This window comes from Homo sapiens, chromosome 14 (genome assembly GCF_000001405.40).
Source record: "Homo sapiens chromosome 14, GRCh38.p14 Primary Assembly".
NCBI lineage: Eukaryota > Metazoa > Chordata > Mammalia > Primates > Hominidae > Homo > Homo sapiens.
Window position 1 is genome coordinate 58,154,745 of NC_000014.9, and position 20,907 is coordinate 58,175,651.

Genomic DNA, 20,907 nt, shown 5'->3' on the forward strand with positions numbered 1-20,907 from the left:
TAAACTTTTTGGTTAAAAAACAAAACAGAAACACACACATTAGCCTGGGCCCATAAAGAGTCAGGATCATTATCACCATCTTTCACCTCCACATCTTGTCCTGCTTCAGGGGCTATAACACACATAGAACAGTCATCTCCTGTGATAACAAGGCCTTCTTCTGCAATACCTCCTGAAGGACCTGCCTGATGCTGTTTTACAGTTAACATTTTTATATACAAGTAGAAGTAGTATAATCTAATGATAAAAAGTACAGTACAGTAAACACATAAGCCAGAGTAGCATAGACATTTATTATTATCAAGTATTTACTGTACATTATTGTATGTGCTGTAATTTTATATGACCGGCAGTATGGTAGGTTTGTTTACACCAGCATCACCACACAAAGGAGAGTAATGCATTATGTTGCATCGTGCTAGGATATTCCGATGGCTACCATGTCACTAAGTGATAGAAACTTTTCAGCTTCATCATGATCTTATGGGACCATCATTTTATACGCAGTTTGTGGTTGACTGAAACATTATTATGGGTACATAAGGTACTTCCAGAATGTGATTGGATTGAATTGAATCTATGAAGTTTGTTTGTTTGTTTTTAGACAGGGTCATGCTCTGTCACTCAAGCTGGAATTCAGTGGCCCAATCACTGCTCATTGCAGCCTCGACCTCCCCAGGCTCAAGCAATCCTCCCACCTCAGCCTCCTGAGTAGCTGGGAGCACAGGCGTATACCACCACACCAAGCTTTTTTTTTTTTTTAATTTTTTGTAGAGACGAGGTTTTGCCATGTTGTCCAGGCTGGTATTGAACTCCTGCACTCAAGTTATCTGCCTGCCTTGACCTCCCAAAATGCTGGGATCATAGGTGTCAGCAACCACACCTGGCCTGAGATCTGCTTTTTGTATGTATTCAGTGCAATACATTGCACTGTGGCCAGGTCTTCTACCTGGATTCAGTACCCACCAGGTGGATGAGCCACACCCAGCCTGACCACGTTGTATTTCAGCATTTTATTTTTAAGTCAGTTGTTTGAAACTCAGACCACATCTTCTTGTAAAAACAATGTTATATAGTATGGCGGGGCTACTAGCTAGCCCACAATATTAAGTCTACTCAACCCAAATACAGGTAAATAATAGTACTAAAAAAAAACTAACCTGAATTCTGGGTGTTCTAACCAGATGGCCAGGCAGAAGAGAGACAGCAAGAGGAAGGAATTCCAGTTCTCCTCACATTTACACACAAATCTGAGACATTCAAAGTTTCTTCTTTTTTTTTTTTTTTTTTTTTGAGACAGAGTCTTGCTGTGTCGCCCAGGCTGGAGTGCAGTGGCGCAATCTCAGCTCGCTGCAAGCTCCGCCTCCCGAGTTCACGCCATTCTCCTGCCTCAGCCTCCCAAGTAGCTGGGACCACAGGCGCCTGCCACCTACTCCTGGCTAATTTTTTGTATTTTTAGTAGAGACGGGGTTTCACCGTGTTAGCCAGGATGGTCTCGATCTCCTGACCTCGTGATCCACCCACCTCGGCCTCCCAAAGTGCTGGGATTACAGGCGTGAGCCATCGCGCCCGGCCAAGACATTCAAAGTTTCTTTGACATCTTCCTGCCTCCTTTTCAGTATCCCTTTCTAACATCCTACTCTTCTTAGAGACTCAGTAGCCACATGATAATCTAAGTTCCAAGTACAGAATTCTAGTTCCAGACCTGAGTTAGACTCAAAATTTTCCATTCTTCAAAATTACCCTTCTCTCATAGCAAAATTCCTGTCTCCCATTTCCTCAATATAAATTATTTCAGATGTGCAGTAAAAGTAAAGTGATCTTATTGGAACTCATTTATACTAGTCCTGTATCCTTCCAAAAATGGTTTGTACTGCTTTCAACAACTCTGGTTTATACAATTTATCTCAACATCTGCTGTTGATACATGGCAGTGGTCATAAGATTTACTCTTCTCTTCCCTCAACACACACACACACAAATTGTGGGTTAAGGAAAGTTGTACTGTGCAAGCCAAATAAGTAAATCCACATACAATGAATGTTATTAACCTTTTACAGGTAAAGCAAGAAACTATGGGGCGGTGGCGGGGGGCGGGTGTGAGGGGGAGGTTTAGAGCTTGGGAATAATAAAAACTCCAATCAGGCCAGGTGCGGTGGCTCACACCTGTAATCTCAGAACTTTGGAAGGCTGAGGTGGGCAGATCACCTGAGGTTGGGAGTTCGAGACCAGCCTGATCAACATGGAGAAACCCTGTCTCTACTAAAAATACAAAATTAGCCGGGTATGGTGGCACATGCCTGTAATCCCAGCTACTCGGGAGGCTGAAGCAGGAGAATCACTTGAACCTGGGAGGCAGAGTTCACGGTGAGCTGAGATTGCGCCATTGCACTCCAGCCTGGGCCAAGAGCGAAACTCCATCTCAAAAAAAAAAAACAAAAACAAAAACAAAAAAACCTCCAATCAAGGTAATAAGCAAGGAAACTTAGGAAGGCAGTTTTAAGGTTGCCAGATTTAGCAAATAAAAATAGATGATTCCCAGTTAAATTTGAATTTCAGATAAACCACAAACAATTTTTAGCAAAAGTGTGTCCCAAATATTAAAAGAATGGGACAGACAGTACTGAAACATTATTTGTGATTTATCTGAAATTCCAGTTTAACTGGGCATCCTGCATTTCATCTAGTAGCCCTCTCAGTTTTAGGCAATTAGTTGGTCCTGGTTAGTAGAAAGTTTTTGTGTCACAGAGGAACTGGTCAAGTTTAGCAAAGAACAGGATAACCAACCACCAAGAGCCAGAAGTGAACGATACCCATTCAAATACCACACAGAGGGAAGAGCCTTGGCAATGCAGATGTAAGCATTATGGTGTCCTTGGAGAGGCTGTCACTCAGTTGGGAAGAAATGCTTCTCAGTATGGTAACTAATTGTCATTAGTTTGATTCCCACGTACCAAGTCCCATGTACATGGCACGTGGGTCTCTGCTGATACGAACATTTCTGTCTGCTTGACCTCTATAAAATTGTTATTCTGTATTATGTGAGTGAATTGTTTGAGTCTGTTCCTAACACATCTATTCACGCCCATAAAAATTGGGTTTCTGATCTTGCAAAGTTAAGAACAAGGCCTTGAGCAGAGCTGACTTGACCGAGGTAAGTGCCACTTCATAAGGGTTCTTGCAGACCAGCTGGCAGGTCCTCCCCAGACTCTGCATTACCGTTTGCCGAGGGCGTTTTTTGTTGCAGTTTGTTTTGTCTTGTTTTCATTTGAAATTGTACCGCCACAAGGATTTGAGGCCGTCGAATAAAATGAAATGGAAGAGCCACATGAGAAAAAATTCTTCTTGGAAGGTTGAGTTTACCTGAGATCTCCTCAAAACCATTCCTGTTTTTCAGTGATTTTTTTCCTCCCTTTTTATAAAATTCCTTCCTTGGATTTTATAGTTCTTATTGGCTCCCCAAATACACAACAAGGAGGTCCTGCCGTGGAAGATGAAGAACTGGAGCTGCTATGTAGAACAGGAGTCATTTGTAAGTTGGATATTGAAGTCCTCCCTGCAATAAATGATCTTTTCCTTTTGGCCTTCCTAAAAGTTTATGAACATGAGCATTTCAGCATCTCCCACTGTTCTCTGCCCAACTGCTCCCTGACTCTAATTCTCCATTGGGGACTTTCTTGTGGCTTTTAATTTTTTCTGTTTGTTTTTAGTTTTGAGACAGTCTCGCTCTGTTGCCCAGGCTGGAGGCGCAGTGGCCCGATCTCAGCTCACTGCAACCACCTCCCAGATTCAAGCGATTCTTGTGCCTCAGCCTGCCGAGCAGCTGGGACTACAGATGTGCACTATCAGGCCTGACTGATTGCTTTTAATTTTTTAAGTTGAAATTCTAATTCCCAGGAGTGGACTTTAGTGTAAAATAATATTGCTAAGTATACTGCACTCACTCTTGGTATTCAATAAATATTTTATTTTTGTGGTGATGATGATGTAGATAATGGTAATCATGTTAGACAGAATCCGCTTTATTAATTCTGATAGATGTTTTCATTGCATCCAAAACCCTCTGAACACTTGGCATGACCCATCTTGAACTACTGCAGTGCCAGTGGGCTTAGATTTTTACCTCCTACTAAATTAGGTCATTGGTATGCAGTTTTTTGTGAAGACAAGTAGGAAGAATAATCCCATAATAAAACTATTTTCCTTAAACAAGGCTTTGGAACAGACTTTTATACATTGTAGTTGCTTTTTTTTGAAACAGTCTCCCTCTGTCACCCAGGCTGGAGTGCAGTGGCACGATCTCGGCTCACTGCAACCTCCGCCTCCCAGGTTCAAGCCATTCTCCTGCCTCAGCCTCCGTGTAGCTGGGATTACAGGTGCACACCACCATGCCCAGCAAATTTTTTGTATTTTCAGTAGAGGTGGGGTTTCGCTTGGCCAGGCTCGTCTCAAACTCCTGACCCCAAGTGATCCACGCACCTTGGCCTCCCAAAGTGCTGGGATTACAGGTGTGAGCCACTGTGCTTGACCTGTAGTTGCTTTTAACTGCTAATACACAAGTCCACTACATTTACCTGTCTTTATTACCTAACACTCTGGTGAATCCTCTTGCTTCTCTGCTCTCCCCAAGAAAGTTATTACAATTATAGAAGCAGAATATTGTATGCCTTACATTTGCTTCTTTAAAAATCTATTCTTTTCAATATTCTCTTATTAAGTGTTGGATTTATTTAGACCCTGAACTTTCTATTCAGTTCTAAGAGATGGAATTTTGTCTGTTGCCTTGAAAAAGCAAGATAAGAGAGGAACGGACCACTAACGCAGGTACAGAAAGAAACAAAATTACAAAAAGTATACCAGCCATTTTTAAAAAGCTTTTTTAGATAAAGAGGCTGAAAACATTTACAAAAAATAAATCTTGTCCTTTCCTTTACTGCCATGAATATGTCCTTGTGAGACAGTCTATAAAAATCCCTTTCAAGAGATTCGAACATCGAAGGTCTAATGTCTTCTGTGGAATGTATCCTTTAATTCTAAATGAATTGGCCATCAGGAGTAACTATTGTGTATTCAAAATGGCATCCATAACTCTAAAAAAGATATGAATTGCCTTTTACTTTGTCAGACAAAAGAGTCTTATCTCCATCTTTGTATTTTTTAATGTTCAATGGTAAATAAATCAATGACTCTCATAGGCTCCCTATCTTAAACAATGGGTTTGAGATATTTATTCCTGACATAATGGTATACATAACCACTGCCTATGTTGCAAAGAAAGATTATTTACTCTTCTCTGTCTCTATTAAGGGTAGAATTAAAGAAAATGGATTTACCAGGAGAAGCAAAGTTCAGGCTCAAGGAAGCACTCTTGTCACAGAAAATTCTCAGACGCTGGAGTAGATTAGCAAGAGAGATTATATATTCTCTTTTGTGTAGGCTCCTAAAACCAGGATGAATTTAAGTCTGACTGGGTTGTGGGTTTCTGATGAAACACCATTAGTTCACTCAATAAGGACATTATGGAGATAGTTGTAGATGTGGAAAAGCTACCAAGTGTATTTACTGAGAAGAACTGTATTATTATTTATTATCCACCTTCCAACAAACGTTGTTTATGTCACTTTTAAAGAATATGATTCAGTTATTAACATCAAGTTCAGGACACACAAGAGTACATTCAAAGAGCACGTTGACAGCAAAAGCAAAGGACAGGATACTATCAATGGAGATTTTCTCCATTACAATGTAGCTCATAATCAGAATAATACCAACAATTTGAATACTGGTTGACCAAGGTTTAAATATGGTATGGATGTCAGTGAAAAAAAAAAAAAAAGACTTTCCTTCAGTGTAACACTCAACCTCCTGCTAAATTTTTTATTCCTATAAAATTTTGGTAAATTTTGGGGGCCAAACAGCCCTAGATGAGTTTGTGTTTCATAGTCATTAAGCCATGGGCACTGCATCATGTAATGTGGGTTATGTGTGTATTTTGGCATTGAGCTTAGCTCCATGGTTAATCACCAACAAATGTTTTTGTTTTGTGGGAGGTATATGGAGTATGCAGAGATCAATCATTGAACTCAGCATTCCCTGGGAATCTTAAATTTAGTTGAGAGGAAAAGGTATATACTTAAAAACATTACCAATAACACACAATGTAAAATTTATTTATAGGCTTCTTTCATGATCTAAAGGGAGTATGGATTTTCATCATCTTTTTCCGTGATACTATCACAAAGCAGAGCTATTTGATAAAGTCTACATGGAAAGCCAATTCTTAATATAGTTAGTGCATGTGTGTGTAACTGTCTTTCCCCCAAGAAAACTATAAGCTCTTTGAATTAAGACAGTGTGTTTTTTTTTTTTGTTTTTTTTTTTTTTTTTGAGACGGAGTTTCGCTCTGTCGCCCAGCCTGGAGTGCAGTGGCCCGATCTCGACTCACTGCAAGCTCCGCCTCCCGGGTTCACGCCATTCTCCTGCCTCAGCCTCCCGTGTAGCTGGGACTACAGGCGCGCGCCACCATGCCTGGCTAATTTTTGTATTTTTAGTAGAGACGGGGTTTCACCGTGTTAGCCAGGATGGTCTCGATCTCCTGACCTCGTGATCCGCCCGTCTCAGCCTCCCAAAGTGCTGGGATTACAGGCGTGAGCCACCGCGCCCGGCCGACAGTGTGTTTTAAATAATCTCACATCTCCCACAACACCTACAGAAGTGCCTTGACATAGCAGCTGCTCAAAAGGTATTTGTTGACCAATCATGGCCATAGCTTATGCCTAAATAAATATGTAACACTACAATGCTCAACATTTTATAATTATGAAGCATGAAACTGAATACTACTCACATGCAAAGGAAATTGGCTAGCTTCAGAATGAAATACATCAATCTCATTCAAATTGGGAAGATACATTCCAATGTAAGTGCCTCTGAGACTTAAGATTTAATTATTTTTTACATCCTTTGAAAAGGAGTTAGTCCATATGTGCATGTGTCCTGTATGAAACCAGAGAACTGAGCCAATTGACGTTTCAAGTCCCTTTCTAACCACAAGTCTGTGATCCTTTTTATTGGTGAAGTTCACATTAATTTAAAGAAGAGTTGCAGGCCTGACATGGTGGCTCACACCTGTAATCCCAGCACTTTGAAAGGCCAAAATGGGCAGATCACTTGAGCCCAGGAGTTTGAGCCTAGCCTAAGCAACATGACCTAGCCACCACACCTGGCTAATTCTTTGAATTTTTGTAGAGGCAGCCTGGGAGATTGAGACTTCAGTCAGTCGTGATCATGCCACTGCACTCCAGCCTGGGCAATAGAGTGAGACCTTGTTTCAAAAAACAAAACAAAAAAACAAAAAACAAAGAGGAGTTGTGCATGAACAAGAAATATCCTGAGTGTAAGATTAAAAACAAAAACAGAAACCTGCTTCGAGATGAATCCAGAACTAGATTTCATGCAGGCCTAAGTCCTTTGAAGTAGCCACAGCAATATGTTTTGTTTTATTTTTTTTTCCTCAAGACCTACAATATAAAGTAGGCATAAAAGATTCACTTTGCAGAATCAGTCCAAAGCAATTCCTCCATAACTTGTTTACAAAAATAGCCCAAAGGGGTGGAAAGACTTCCTTCAGAATCAGGGTGATTGAAAGCATGTCTCATATAGAGAAAATTATTTACTTCTGGACTGGTCTAAAGTGTGAGGCATCACCACAAAAGACAAAATGAACTTTTCTCCAAAAGATTCCCAGTAAAGATAAATGGAGGGTCATGTGATGTTCTTTCTTTTCTCCTCTTCTTGCTTTTAGGAGCCTTCTATAAGTGGTATTCAGGCATAGCGACATGTTTTGTTTTCCTTCTGTTTCTCTCTTTGCAAAAGGCGTTTTAAGGCACTTGCCATTGCCAGCTAACGTTCATTTTATGACATTGTTCCTAGCAATCAGTCTTACATTGATGGGCACTTCTCAGTCAGATCATATTCTGCTCAGTTCATAAAAAAAAAAAAAAAAAAAACAGATTTTTTTCCTTGTTACTCTCCATTTCTCTTTTAAATTCTATTCTTCTGATTTTCTCTTCTCATACTTCTACTTTCTAGATTTCATACTGCTGCTTTTAAAATCTAATGTCTTCTCCAGTGTATACATTGTTCCTTGTTTCAAAGACATGAGCCTGAGTACTTTGGCCCAATCCTTTTCAATTTCAGAGTCTTTAATTCCAGTATGCTGCTGTGTTTGAGGCAGCCTTGAGGAATATAACAAAATTTCACGTGGTGCAATGCATTATTCATTCATAAGCAGTTTTACAGGCCCATTCTTTTGCCCAAGGCACAAACATAAGCAATTGATCTTACTTCCTCTCCCTCTCCTTCTACCTGGGTATAAGAAATGTGGCAGACATCAAGGACATCTAAAGCAGATGATAAATATATGGAAGAAATTATCCATTATCCCAGGCTGTTGCTCCAAGCCTGCCCAATGTCATCCCTTTCCCAGCCTCAACTCCTCCGCCTCTTCCCCACCATCCTGAAGTAAATGGGAGTAACGCCTGTGTTATGGACTGAGTTGTATTCCCCCAAAATTCACATGCTGAAGCCCTAACTCCCAGTACCTGAGAATGTGACTGTATTTGGAAAGAGAGTCTTTTTTAGATTTTTATTTTTATTTTTAGAGACAGGATCTTGCTCTGTTGCCCAGACTGGAGTGCAGTGGTGCCATCATAGCTCACTGTAACCTCAAATTCCTGGGCTCAAGGGATTCTCCTGCCTAGCCTCCTGAGTACCTGGGACTACGGGCATGGACCACCATGCCTGGCTAATTTTTTTTTTTTTTTTTTTTTTTTTTTTGTGGTAGAGACAAAGTCTCGCTATGTTGCCTGCTGGTCTCGAACTTCTGAGATCAAGTGATGCTCCCACCTTGGCCTCCCAAAGTGCTGGAATCACAGGCGTAAGCCACCAAGCCCAGCCAAGAGGGTTTTTAAAGAGGTAATTAATTAAAAATTCAACCCCATATGCCTTGTGTCCTTATAAAAGGGACACAGACAGACATGGAAGACCATGTGAAGTCACAGAGAGAAAGTGGCCATCTACAAGCCACAAAGAGAGGCCTCGGATGAAACCAACCCTGTCGACACCTTGATCTTGGGCTTCTAGACTCCACAACTATGAGAATATTAATTTCTGTTGTTTAAGGCACTTGGTTCATGGTACTTTGTTAGGCAACCCTAACAGACTAATACACCCTGGCACAGTTGAAGGTCTCTTCTGATTGGCTAGTGCTTTTGCCATGCTGAGTATTTTTAATAGCTTCCCTGGTTGAAGCAAAACAGTTATATATTTAGAGGGGGAGCACAGGAAAATCACTGTCCCAAAAGGAGCATATTTTCAGACCAGAAAATCCACAAGTGGCACCTTTTTTACATTGCAGCTCTCCTTAGTAGTAGAATCTGGCTATGCCTTTGAGCCATTTCTTAGTAACATGACTTGAACTGCTGTAGAGGTCACCTGGAGGTTCTTGGCCTTTCCTGAGATAAGAGAGCAAATAAGTGTTCAAACAATCTAAGTAAAAGTATTGCATAGGAACCAGGAGCATGCATTTAGCTTCAAAATAGGATAATAATAGTTTTGATATCCTAGGATTATTGGGAGAATTAAACGAGATAAGGTGTAATGTACTAAACACAGTGTCTTTAACACCCATTACATATTCAATGAATACTATTATGTGAAACAATTGCAGACCCGGGTAATGAAGTATTGATTTTCAGCTATAGAAGCACGTATTTCCTGAGTTGATGGCTAATGGATTTTTTTTATTTCTTGAGGAACTTTCTGGGAATAAAAATGGACCTATCAGTATCCCTATATTTAAACTTCAGGTTATTGTGGAAAGAACAATTTTCTGGGAATAGATTTTAGAATGGTAATTTTGGCATAATTCTGTGGTATTTTCTTGGAATTTCACCAAGTTTCGCCAATGAAACTGTCAAATTTAACTAAGTAATTTGCACTATGTCCATCCACCAGGTTCCCATTAACACTAAATTTTTCCCCAAGCAGAAACATTTTTACATAGGCAGAAAATGTTTTTAAATTTATTGAGATTATACTATTATTTAAATGATCTAGCATTTTATGAAACTGCACTTAACTAGAACCAATTACATGACTTACATAGCTGAAAATAAGTTGGAATTATAATAATGTCTGGCCTATTACAGATATTTAATAGATTTATCTCATTTAAAGATCTCAAAACACATAATAATTATGGAGGTGTGCTTCTCTTCTGCTCCAATTTCCTTATTTATCAAATGAGACACTAAACCTGCAAGAGATTGCCCAATGTCAGGGCAAAGCCTACACAGGAACCCAAATCTCTGGATGCATAATCCAGGACTCTTCCTCTCCTATTCAGTGGCACTTTCCTGTTTCAAGGGTAAAGAAACACATTTAAGAGTTTAACCAAAGATTTAGCTTCCCGGCCAGGCACGGTGGCTCACACTGTAATCCCAGCACTTTGGGAGAACAAGGCAGGTGGATTACCTGAGGTCAGGAGTTGGAGACCAGCCTGGCCAACATGGTGAAACCCCGTCTCTACTAAAAACTACAAAAATTAGCCAGACATGGTGGTGCATGCCTGTCATCCCAGCTACTCAGGAGGCTGAGGCAGGAGAGTCACTTGAACCCAGGAGGCAGAGGTTGTAGTGAGCTGAGATCATGCCACTGCCCTCCAGCCTTGGTGACAAAGATTTAGCTTCCCAACTAAGCATCGTAATCTACATTGACACCTCTGTGCCTGGGATGGGCTCATGTTCTCTCACCTGAATTGAACATTTGTGTCTTCTTTGTCTGGCTAAGGATACTTACACATGGTTCCAAACTCACCTTAGCCATCCTGTTCAGGAAACTCTCCCTGATTACCGAGGCTGGGTGGAATGCTGCCATCACACCTGGGCATGCAGTTCTGTCTTAGCACTCAGATTCAACTAGCCACGTGTCAGGCACCCAGCTGCCCACAGTGCCTCCTCCAGCATCCCACTCCAGCCTGTATTGTTTTTAGTGTGTATCACTCCTCAGCCCCTCAGACCTTCCCACAGTCTGTATTCTCCCTGGCCTGTATCCTCCCTTGACTTTTATCCTCTCTTCAGCCTGCATCACGCCCCAGCCTGTATCCTCTCTTAATTTGTACCACTTCCTAACCTGTATCCATCTCGGCTTTTTATTATCCACCTTCCTGTATCCTCTCCAATCTATTGCCCCACCAGACTGTATCCTTTATCACTCCCCAATCCCCCAGCCTGTATCTCCTCTTGAAAGGCAGGATTCTAAGATGGTCTCAAAGACTCATAGCCTCTGGTATGCATAATTCGCATCAGAGTAATTCAGTAATTACTCTTTTCCCAGTCATTCAGTCAAACATGAGTCAGTAATTCGGTCAAACATGACTCCTTTCCCAGTAATTTAGTCAAACATGAATCTAGTGCAGCTGTGAAGTTGCAGATGTAATTAAGGTCCCAAATCAGTTGATTTTAAGATATGGAGAGGGCTAGGCCTGGTGGCACGTGCCTGTAGTCCCAGCTACTAGGGAGGCAGAGGTGGGAGGATCACCTGAGCCCAGGAGTTCCAGGATGCAGTGAGCCCCAATCACACTATTGCACTCCAGCCTGGGCTACAGAGCAAAATCCTGTCTCAAAAATAAAAATAGGGAGATTATCTAGTAGGGATGACATAATCAATGGACCCTTTCAATCTGAATGTAGAGGTTATAAACAGAGAAGTCAGAGACTCAAAGCATGAGAGGACCTGGGAAGGGAACCACACAAGGAACTGCGGGCGCCCTCTAGTGGTTTGGAATGCCGTGGCCAAAAGCCAGCAAGATGCTTCACTCCCACAACCACAGGAACTGAATTCTTCCAACAATCCTGTGAGTTTAAGAGGTTCCTGAGCCCTAGAAAGGAGCACAGCCCAGCTGACACGTTCATTCTCCCCTTGGGATACACTGAGTGGAGAACTCAGCCACACCGTGCTGGACTTCTGACCTACAGCACTGTGAACTAATAAATGGTGTGTTTTAAGACACTAAGTGTGTAAAAATTTGTTATATAACATAGAAACTTAATACAACACCTTCTGCAGCCCGTGCACCCCAGTCTGTATCCCCGCAATCTATATCCCACAACCTGTATCACCCCAGCCTGAATTCCCCCAGGATACATCTCCCCAGCTTGAATCATTTCCCAGCCTGTATCACCCACTCCAGCATGGATGCCTCTGGCCTACATTCCTCTCAGCTTGTACCATCCCCCCACCTAAATGCCCCCTACATACTCACAGTTTGTCATATAATGTCCCCCCATCAATCCCATCTATCTCTCTCTCTCACACACACACACACACCACTAGCACCACTAACACCACCACCCACCACCTGCACCTCACAGCACCCTGAGTGATTCTGCCCAAGGAGTACACCACTCAAGTTCACAGTCTGCAGCACCAGATGGAAATTTTGTCTCCTTTCCAAGACTGGTGAGCAGGACTGGGCAACCCAAAGCAAAAATGTAGTCTCTTCTTTGCTTCTTTGAGCCTCAAGCCAATCATGAGCAGCCAGTCAGCCCTGCTTCCTATGCACTGAGCTCTGCACTAGTTTCCCCAGCAGTCTAGAATCACCCCCCACCCCCACCAAGCCAGCAGCAGGCACTCCCTTTCCGAAGGGAAATGAAATGGGGCCCAAATCAGTTGGCCAAATCCTTTCATCTCTCCTCTCGAAGGATTTGAAAATCCCTTTTCTCTAGGAGGATTGCTGACCCCTCCACCCATTCTCCACCTGCAGTCCAGAGCTGACCTTCTGGACTTTTCTGTCCTTCTGGACTTTTCTTCATCTGTGCTATCCCACAACTTACATTTGCAAGATGGTGTGTTTGTGAGTGATGTATTCCTCCATAATTATCCTTGTATGTTAACCTGAACTTTTTCTGAGTTGGTTGGCATAAGTAACCAATACCTACTGTCAAATAGCAAACATTAGGTGAAGAACATAGAACATCTGTGTAAAAGCATAAGTAACTATATGTACAAACATATACACATACAAAATACATGCATCTATACAGTGTATATGTATATATACATATATGATATATGTTACATTTTTATATATTTATAGATTGTATATATATATAAAACAACAACCCTGCAAGGTGTAGTTACTATTCCTATTTCATAGACGAGGAAATTGAGGTTCACAGAAGTTAACTAGGTTGTCTAATGGCACACAGCAAGCAAGCAACAGAGCTGGAATACCAACTCGAGCAGTCTGGCTCCAGAGTTGATCTTCTTACCCACTCTGCTGAACACTTACAAGGTGTCAGGATCACTGTGCTAAGTAGGGCGCATGCATCAATTATGGCAAGAAAAGAGCAGGAGAGAAAGCCGAGAAAACTGTGTGCTAAAGCAATCAGGACAATTTTCACAGAGAAAGTGGGGCTTGAGCTAGCACGAAGGGAAAAGTTGGACTCAGACTTACAAGGGTAGGGTGTTCAGGCTGGGGGAATGGAATGAACTAGGCACAGGAGTAGGGGCATGCATGTCATGGTAGCATAATTTGTATAAAGGAGCTATGGGAAATAAGGAAGGAGAGGTTACGTGGAGACCAGATTGTGGCTGCCTTGAATGTTAAACCAAGGCATTTGGCCTTAATTATAAGGCAAGAAGAGGAAGCCCTAGGAAAATTTTTGAGCAAGCAAGTGGGAGAGGAGAGGGACAGTTGAATATGGTGAATGACTGAGAGATAAAAAGAATTTAAAAATTAGTCCAAAGTTTAGCTTGGGTGATTCAGGTAATTTTTGTTTTAATAATAGAAATTGATTAAATTATACGTGGGGCTGAAATTTGCTTCCTTGCGATAGTTACGCATATGATTGTTCTTTAAACTCTGCTGGGATGGAAATCCCATTTTGCCTTCTCCATAGAGCAATCCAGGAAAAATTTGTATAGGGCTAGACAAGTATGAAGAGTCAACAGGATCATTAGAATCCTATGGATTCTCCTACCCTAGAGAAAAATTCAAAAAGTTCAGCTATACTATGGGCATTTTAGCCACAAGCCAGTTGCCCTCTGGGATAGTACCCCAACTAAATAGGATGTTATGTCGCTTTGCAATGATTCCAAATACTTACATAGTTTGTTGTAGGAGTTACATGTTTTGCTGTGGGAATAACATGGAGTCTAATCCTTCTCCCTGTGAGAATGCTATGTCACATTTTATCAGACCATATAAATGAGTTATTGGCCTCCAACTACTGGACTCCAAAACATATACAAACCCAAGATTTTGATAGACAGATTGAGAGCTTAGGCTGCGGCAGGGCTACTCTCTGTCAGCCTTCAAGCTATTCTCCAAAGCATCTCCAGCCAACACCAGCACCACGTGCTAGCCTGGAGGGAACTTGCCCATCATTGCATGTCTTTGAGGATCTCTGCTGTGTTGGTCAAACCATCTTTGCCAAGAACTTCTTGTAGCTTTCTACAAGAAAGCTTTTGTCCTTTTATGTCTAGCTTATTTCACATAGCGTAATGTTTTTCAAAGTTTACCCATGTTGTAGCATGTATTAGAACTTCATTCCTTTTTATGGCTGAATAGTATTCCATTGTATGCCTCAAACTTTGATTGGACTCTACATCCGCAGAGGCCTGCTTCCATCCTAACTGAGTAACTAGACTTTAATAATGGACTCTAAATGAAATTGGAACTCACTGATTCTGTGGCTAATGCACTCTGTCTATTGAGTATTAATATATTCCCTGTGAGATTTGTTCTTGTTATTCTCCCTCTCTTTCAGCATTATGGAAAAGAAAAATATATCTTTCTATGGCAATAAATCATGTGATTCATGAAATCATACTTTGATCATCTCCCTATTTTAATCTACAAAACATAGAACAGCTGAGGAACTCAACTCTAGGAGCTCCTTTCTTGCTCTATATTTATATCGAGTGGGTGAGAAGTAGGTTTCTGTTGACAGATCAAAGCAGGCCTGATTTGCTAATGGTGTAGAAAATATTATTGGTTCAACGTTATATATCATAGTTAATCACTACATACTCTCCAGTCTTTTTAGATACGTCATTGTTTTAAAGTGTTATTAGGGGGTTAGTTGCTGTAAATATGCAACCTAAAAGACATACTTTAAACTTTTCCTCCACAGAGGGAATTAACAATAAATGAGAACATAAAGTGCGTGGGAAAATATACTTCACACCAGCCCTGGTACACGTTGCAAATACTCAACCCAAAGCAGGAGAAATGCCTGGTGTCCTTCAGCACTGCCTGGCATGGGAGAGTGAATGGAAGAAGGACAGGGCAGGAAGGGAGCAGTAGAGACTGGAACCTGTCACACCAGCCCCACCTCCACCTCCACCACAGGATAGTCCACACCTGCTTGATGAAGCCAAAAAATAGAAACTTTAGAGCCAGTTCAGTAAACACTCTAGTCTCGCAGTTTACCAGCTGCATTTACCTTGGGCAAGTTACCTCTGTGTGTCATATCATTATTCCAAAATAAAAGGTTAAAAATAATCTATGCTGGGCGCAGTGGCTCACACCTGTAATCCCAGCACTTTGGGAGACCAAGGCGGGCAGATCACAAGGTCAGGAGTTCGAGACCGGCCTGGCCAACATGGAAAACCTTGTCTCTACTAAAAATACAAAAATTAGCTGGGCATGGTGGTGGGCGCCTGTAATCCCAGCTACTCGGGAGGCTGAGGCAGGAGAATCACTTGAACCCGGGAGGTAGAGGTTGCAGTGAGCCGAGATAGTGCCATTGCACTCCAGCCTGGGCAACAAGAGCCTCTGTCAAAAACAAAATAAATAAATAATCTATTACATTAAACAACACTTGCAAAGCACCTACCATAGCACCCAAAACATCGAGGATACCCATAACTATTCATTCCTTGTCCCTTCCCCGCAGTGCGCAGCAGGAAGCAGTGGGGATAATGGGATATTCCAACAGGCATCTAGGCAGAGCCCAGGACCAGGGAATCCAACAGAAAGCAGATTGTGAAGTATTAGGGGGTCAGGTGCCTCCACAGCTAACCTGCAGCTTACTAGGACAGACCGGCAAGGTGGATTGTTAGTGGGAAGGTAAATGGAGTCAGAAGTGGAGTCCCAGGGAAGGCACCAAACCCCTGGAGATTAAGTAGAGAAGAAAGGGAATTTAAACGGGAATTATGTATAATGGGGAAGGGTATGGGAATGGGAAGGAATTGAGGAATAGAGTGGATCTTATAAAATCTTGAAGGTGAGTACCTTCAATAAAAAATACTGAGCCAAGGCAGGAAAACCTTCCTCCCAAGACCAAGATTCAGGGACAGACTCCCCTGAGAAAACTGGCAAGAAAAGGACAGGGGTTTGGCGACAAAACAAAGACCCAATTATCATAACTGGGATAGAAAATGAGAGCAAGGTCAGAGCCGGTGACAAGATCAGATCAGGAGGAACAGCTGCCACACGGTGCTGAGTCACTGCGACCTGATGCTGAGTCAGCAGAAGACCGACCTTCTGATTGGTCCCCAAGCTTGGGGCAGGGCTAAGCATGCAGATGGCAGTCCGGAGCCCTCAGCTGGGAGCCAGAAGCAGGAATCTAAGCTTGACATTGAAAGAGCAAATATTCCACAGAATCTTACAGTCAGGGGCCCTCCAGACACCAGAAGACATTCTTTTCTCTGTTTTCAGAGTGTATTAACAAATATCTTTAAGAATACTTCTGTCCTTTGGCTTCACACTCACCTGGGAAACGTTAAAAATAAGTGTTCCAGCCCACCTCAAACTTAACAAATCAGAGTCTTTATGGATGAGGACAAAGCAGTTAGATTGGGTGAGTCTTGATATAAACTAAATTTGGAAAGACAAGAGTATTAGATTCTAAACTTTAAAACGACACTCTTGCTCACCTTGACTCTGATTTTATGTGTTGGGACCTGCCTTAGTTGGCAGTCTCTCCCTTCACTCTCTGAAAAGTAACTAGTCTCTAATACCCATATGGGTCTCAGACTCTGAGGTAGGCTCAGGGAGGTTCTTAGGAAGAAGTGGGGAGGTAAAATATATACAATATAAAATATGCCACTTTCATCAGTTTTAAGTGTAAAATTCAGAGGCATTAATTATGTTATACAATTATCACCACTATGTATTTTCTTTTTCATCACTCATAACAGAAAGTCTATGTCCATTAAGCAATAACCACATTCTCCCGTACTTCCAGCCCTTGGTAACCTCTAATCTACTTTCTGCCTCTATAAATTTGCCTATGCTTGATATTTCATATAAGTGGAATCATACAATATTTGTCCTTTTGTGTCTAGCTTATTTCACATAGCATAATATTTTTCAAGGTTTATCCATGTTTTAGCATGTATTAGAACTTCATTCCTTTTTATGGCTGAATAGTATTCCATTGTATGTATACGCCACATTTTGTTTATCCATTCTTCTGTTGATAGACTCTTGGATTATTTCCACCTTTTGGCTATTGTGAATAATGCTGCTATGAACATTGGTGTACAAGTATTTTTTTGAGTAACTCTTTTCCATTATTTTGAGTATATACCCAGGTGTGCTCATATGGTAATTATGTCTAACTTGTTGAGGAACTGCCAAACTGTTTTCCACATCAGCTGCACCATTTCACATTCCTATTGCTAACTTATAAAGATTTCAATTTCCCCATATCCTCAACAACACTTGTTATTTTCCATTTTTTAATAATAGTCATCATAGTAAGTGTGAAGTGATAGCTTGGAGTTTTAATTTGTATGTCTCCATTGACTAATGATGTTGACATCTTTTCAAGTGCTTATTGGCCATTTGTTTATCTTCTTTGGAGAAATGTTTATTCAAGCCTTTTGTCCATTGTAAGATGGACAAAAATGGTTGTCTTTTTGTTGTTTGTTTACAACCATTTTGTTTTAAAATGTTTTGTCTTTTTGTTGTTGAATTGTAGAAGTTTTTTATATACTTTGGGTATTAAACCTTAACATATATACAATTCGCAAGTATTTTTCCTATTCTATAGGTTGTCTTTTCACTTTCTTGACAGTGTTCTTTGTTGCACAAAAATTTTTAATTTTGATGAAGTCCAATTTATATATTTATTCTTTTGTTGCTTATGCTTTTAAAGTCATATTAAGAATCCAGGCCAGATGCAGTGGCTCACGCCTATAATCCTAGTGCTTTGGGAGGCCAAGGGGGTGGAACACCTGAGGTTAAGAGTTCGAGACCAGCCTGGCCAACATGGTGAAACCCCGTCCCTACTAAAAATATCAAAATTAGCCAGGCATGGTTGTGGGCACCTGTAATCCCAGCTACTCGGGAGGCTGAGGTAGGAGAATTGCTTGAACCTGAGAGGCGGAGGTTGCAGTGAGCTGAGGTTGTGCCACTGCACTCCAGCCTGGGCAACAAGAGTGAAACTCCATCTCAAAAAAAAAAAAAGAACTCATTGCCAAATACAAAGTTGTAGCCCTATGTTTTCTTCTAAGAGTTTTATGGTTTTAGCACTTATGGTTAAGTTGTTGATGGATTTGGAGTTAATTTTGTATATGGTATGAGAGATAGAGGTCCAACCTCATTGTTTTGCATGTGGAAATTCAGAACCATTTGTTGAAGATGCTATCTTTTTCCATTGAATGGATTTGTTGCCATTATCAAAAATCAATTGGCCATATTACTATTTAATGGGTACAGATTTTCAGATTTGCAAGATGAAAAAAGTTCTGGAGATGGATGGTGAAGAATGCAAATGTATATAATGTCACTGTACTGTACACTTTAAAAGATGGTAAATTTTGGCCGGGTGCAGTGGCTCATGCCTGTAATCCCAACACTTTGGGAGGCCAAGGCGGGCGGATCATGAGGTCAGGAGTTTGAGACCAGCCTGACCAATATGGTGAAACCCCGAATACAAAAAAAAAAAAAATTAGCCGGGCGTGGTGGCACACACCTGTAGCCCCAGCCACTCAGGAGGCTGAGGCAGGAGAATCGCTTGAACCTGGGAGGTGGAGGTTGCAGTGAGCTGAGATCATGCCACTGCACTCCAGCCTGGGTGACAGAGTGAGACTCCATCTCACAAAAAAAGATGGTAAATTTTATGTTATGTGTATTTTAACACAATTGTTTCTGCTAATTTAATTTTATTTTTAAAATTTTTAAAAATACATTTGGGGGTGGGTACAAGTGCAGGTTTTTTTTTTTACATGGAGATAGTGCACAGTGGTGAAGTCTAGGCTTTTAGCATAACCATTACCAAAATAGTGTACACTGGACCACTAGATAATCCTCATCCCTCACCCTCCCCAACCCTCCCACCTTTCCAAGTCTCTAATGTCTATTATTCCACTATCTATGTTCATGTTATTACAATTTTTAAAACCCAATTGGCCATAGATGTATGGGTTTATTTATGGACTCTCAATTCTATCCCATTGGTCTGTGTGTCTATCCTTATGCTAATACCACAGTAGTTTTATTTCTGTAGCTTTGTAGTAACTTTTGATATCAGGAAGTATGAATAATCCAACTTTATTCTTTTTGTTCAGGATTGTTTTGGCTATTCAGGGCCCCTTGCAATTCCATATGAATTTGAGGATCATCTTTTCCATTTATGTGAAAAAAAAGATGTTGGAATTTTGATAGGGATTGTGCTGAATCTGTAGATAGCTTTAGGTAGTATTGCCATTGTAACAATATTATGTCTTCCAGTCCATGAACATTCCAGTCCATACTTAAGTCTTGTTTCTTTCATCAGTGTTGGTCATGTTCAGTTCAGGTAGATTCTTAAGCTATAGAGTTTTTCTTCCACTGCTTCAGTATGACACATTTTACATTAAAAAAAGAAAAAGAAAGAAATGTAACTTACAAGAAGGCAGCCAGTATTTTATTCATTTTGCTGACATTTACTCATGAGAAGATAAGACTTATAGACCACTCAGTATTAAACCAGCATTGATTGAGATTCTTTCTATTCTGAGCCCTGGGCTAGATCCTGGAAAGTCTCTGCTTTCCATAAGCAGCTAGTATAACTATCAGGTAGAAATCTAACTAGTGATGGTAAAATAAGAAATATTATAAAGCTTGTACAGAAAGCTGAGAAAACACAAAGGAAGCACAACTAAGTGCCCATGAGGGAGGCTGAGTTAGAAGATCTGTCAAATAGGAGGCTTTGAAAGTGGGGTGAGATTTTGCCAGTCAAAAAAGGAAAATAAGAGGAAGGGCATTTTGGGAAAAGGATGTGAATAAAAGGCGAGAAAAGGCATGTTCAAGAAATGCTAAAGAGGGCTACTGAGGGGTGTGTGTTTGTCTGGTGTGTGTCTGTCTGTATCAGTGTATCTTTGTGCCTGTGTGTATCCGTATATGTCGGTGTGTGAGATAGAGGATGGAAGGTGGGGAGAAATATGGAGATAACAGGGAGGTGGAAGTGCCTACATTGTCTGTGGTTAGTAAACCAGCCCATTCCTTTGAACACTTGTTTAAAAAAAAAAAAAAAAAGTTAGGGCACATATCGATTAACACATTCTTTTCAATAAATGATGATACGATTAAAAAGTAATGCTGTTGGGACAGTTTTAAAAATAGAATAAAATCTGTGGAGCAGATAATAGTACTGTATCGATGTATTTCTTTGTTTTGTTTTGTTTTGAGACGGAGTCTTCCTCTGCTGTCCATGCTGGAGTGCAGTGGCATGATCTCAGCTCACTGCAACCTCCATCCCCCAGGTTCAAGCGATTCTCATGTCTCAGCTTCCCAAGTAGCTGGGATTACAGGCATGTGCCACTACGCCCGGCTAATTTCTGTATTTTTAGTAGAGGCGGGGTTTCACCATATTGGATAGGCTGGTTTTGAACTCCTGACCTCAAGTG

At 41.0% G+C, this 20,907-nt stretch overlaps 1 annotated feature.

Annotated features, from left to right (window-relative positions):
• Positions 16,440-16,499: an enhancer, noted in NCBI's record as "active region_8440". NCBI's record gives its function as "activates an Ori minimal core promoter by ATAC-STARR-seq in GM12878 lymphoblastoid cells {active_cell/tissue: GM12878}" and the evidence as "EXISTENCE:reporter gene assay evidence [ECO:0000049][PMID:35858748]".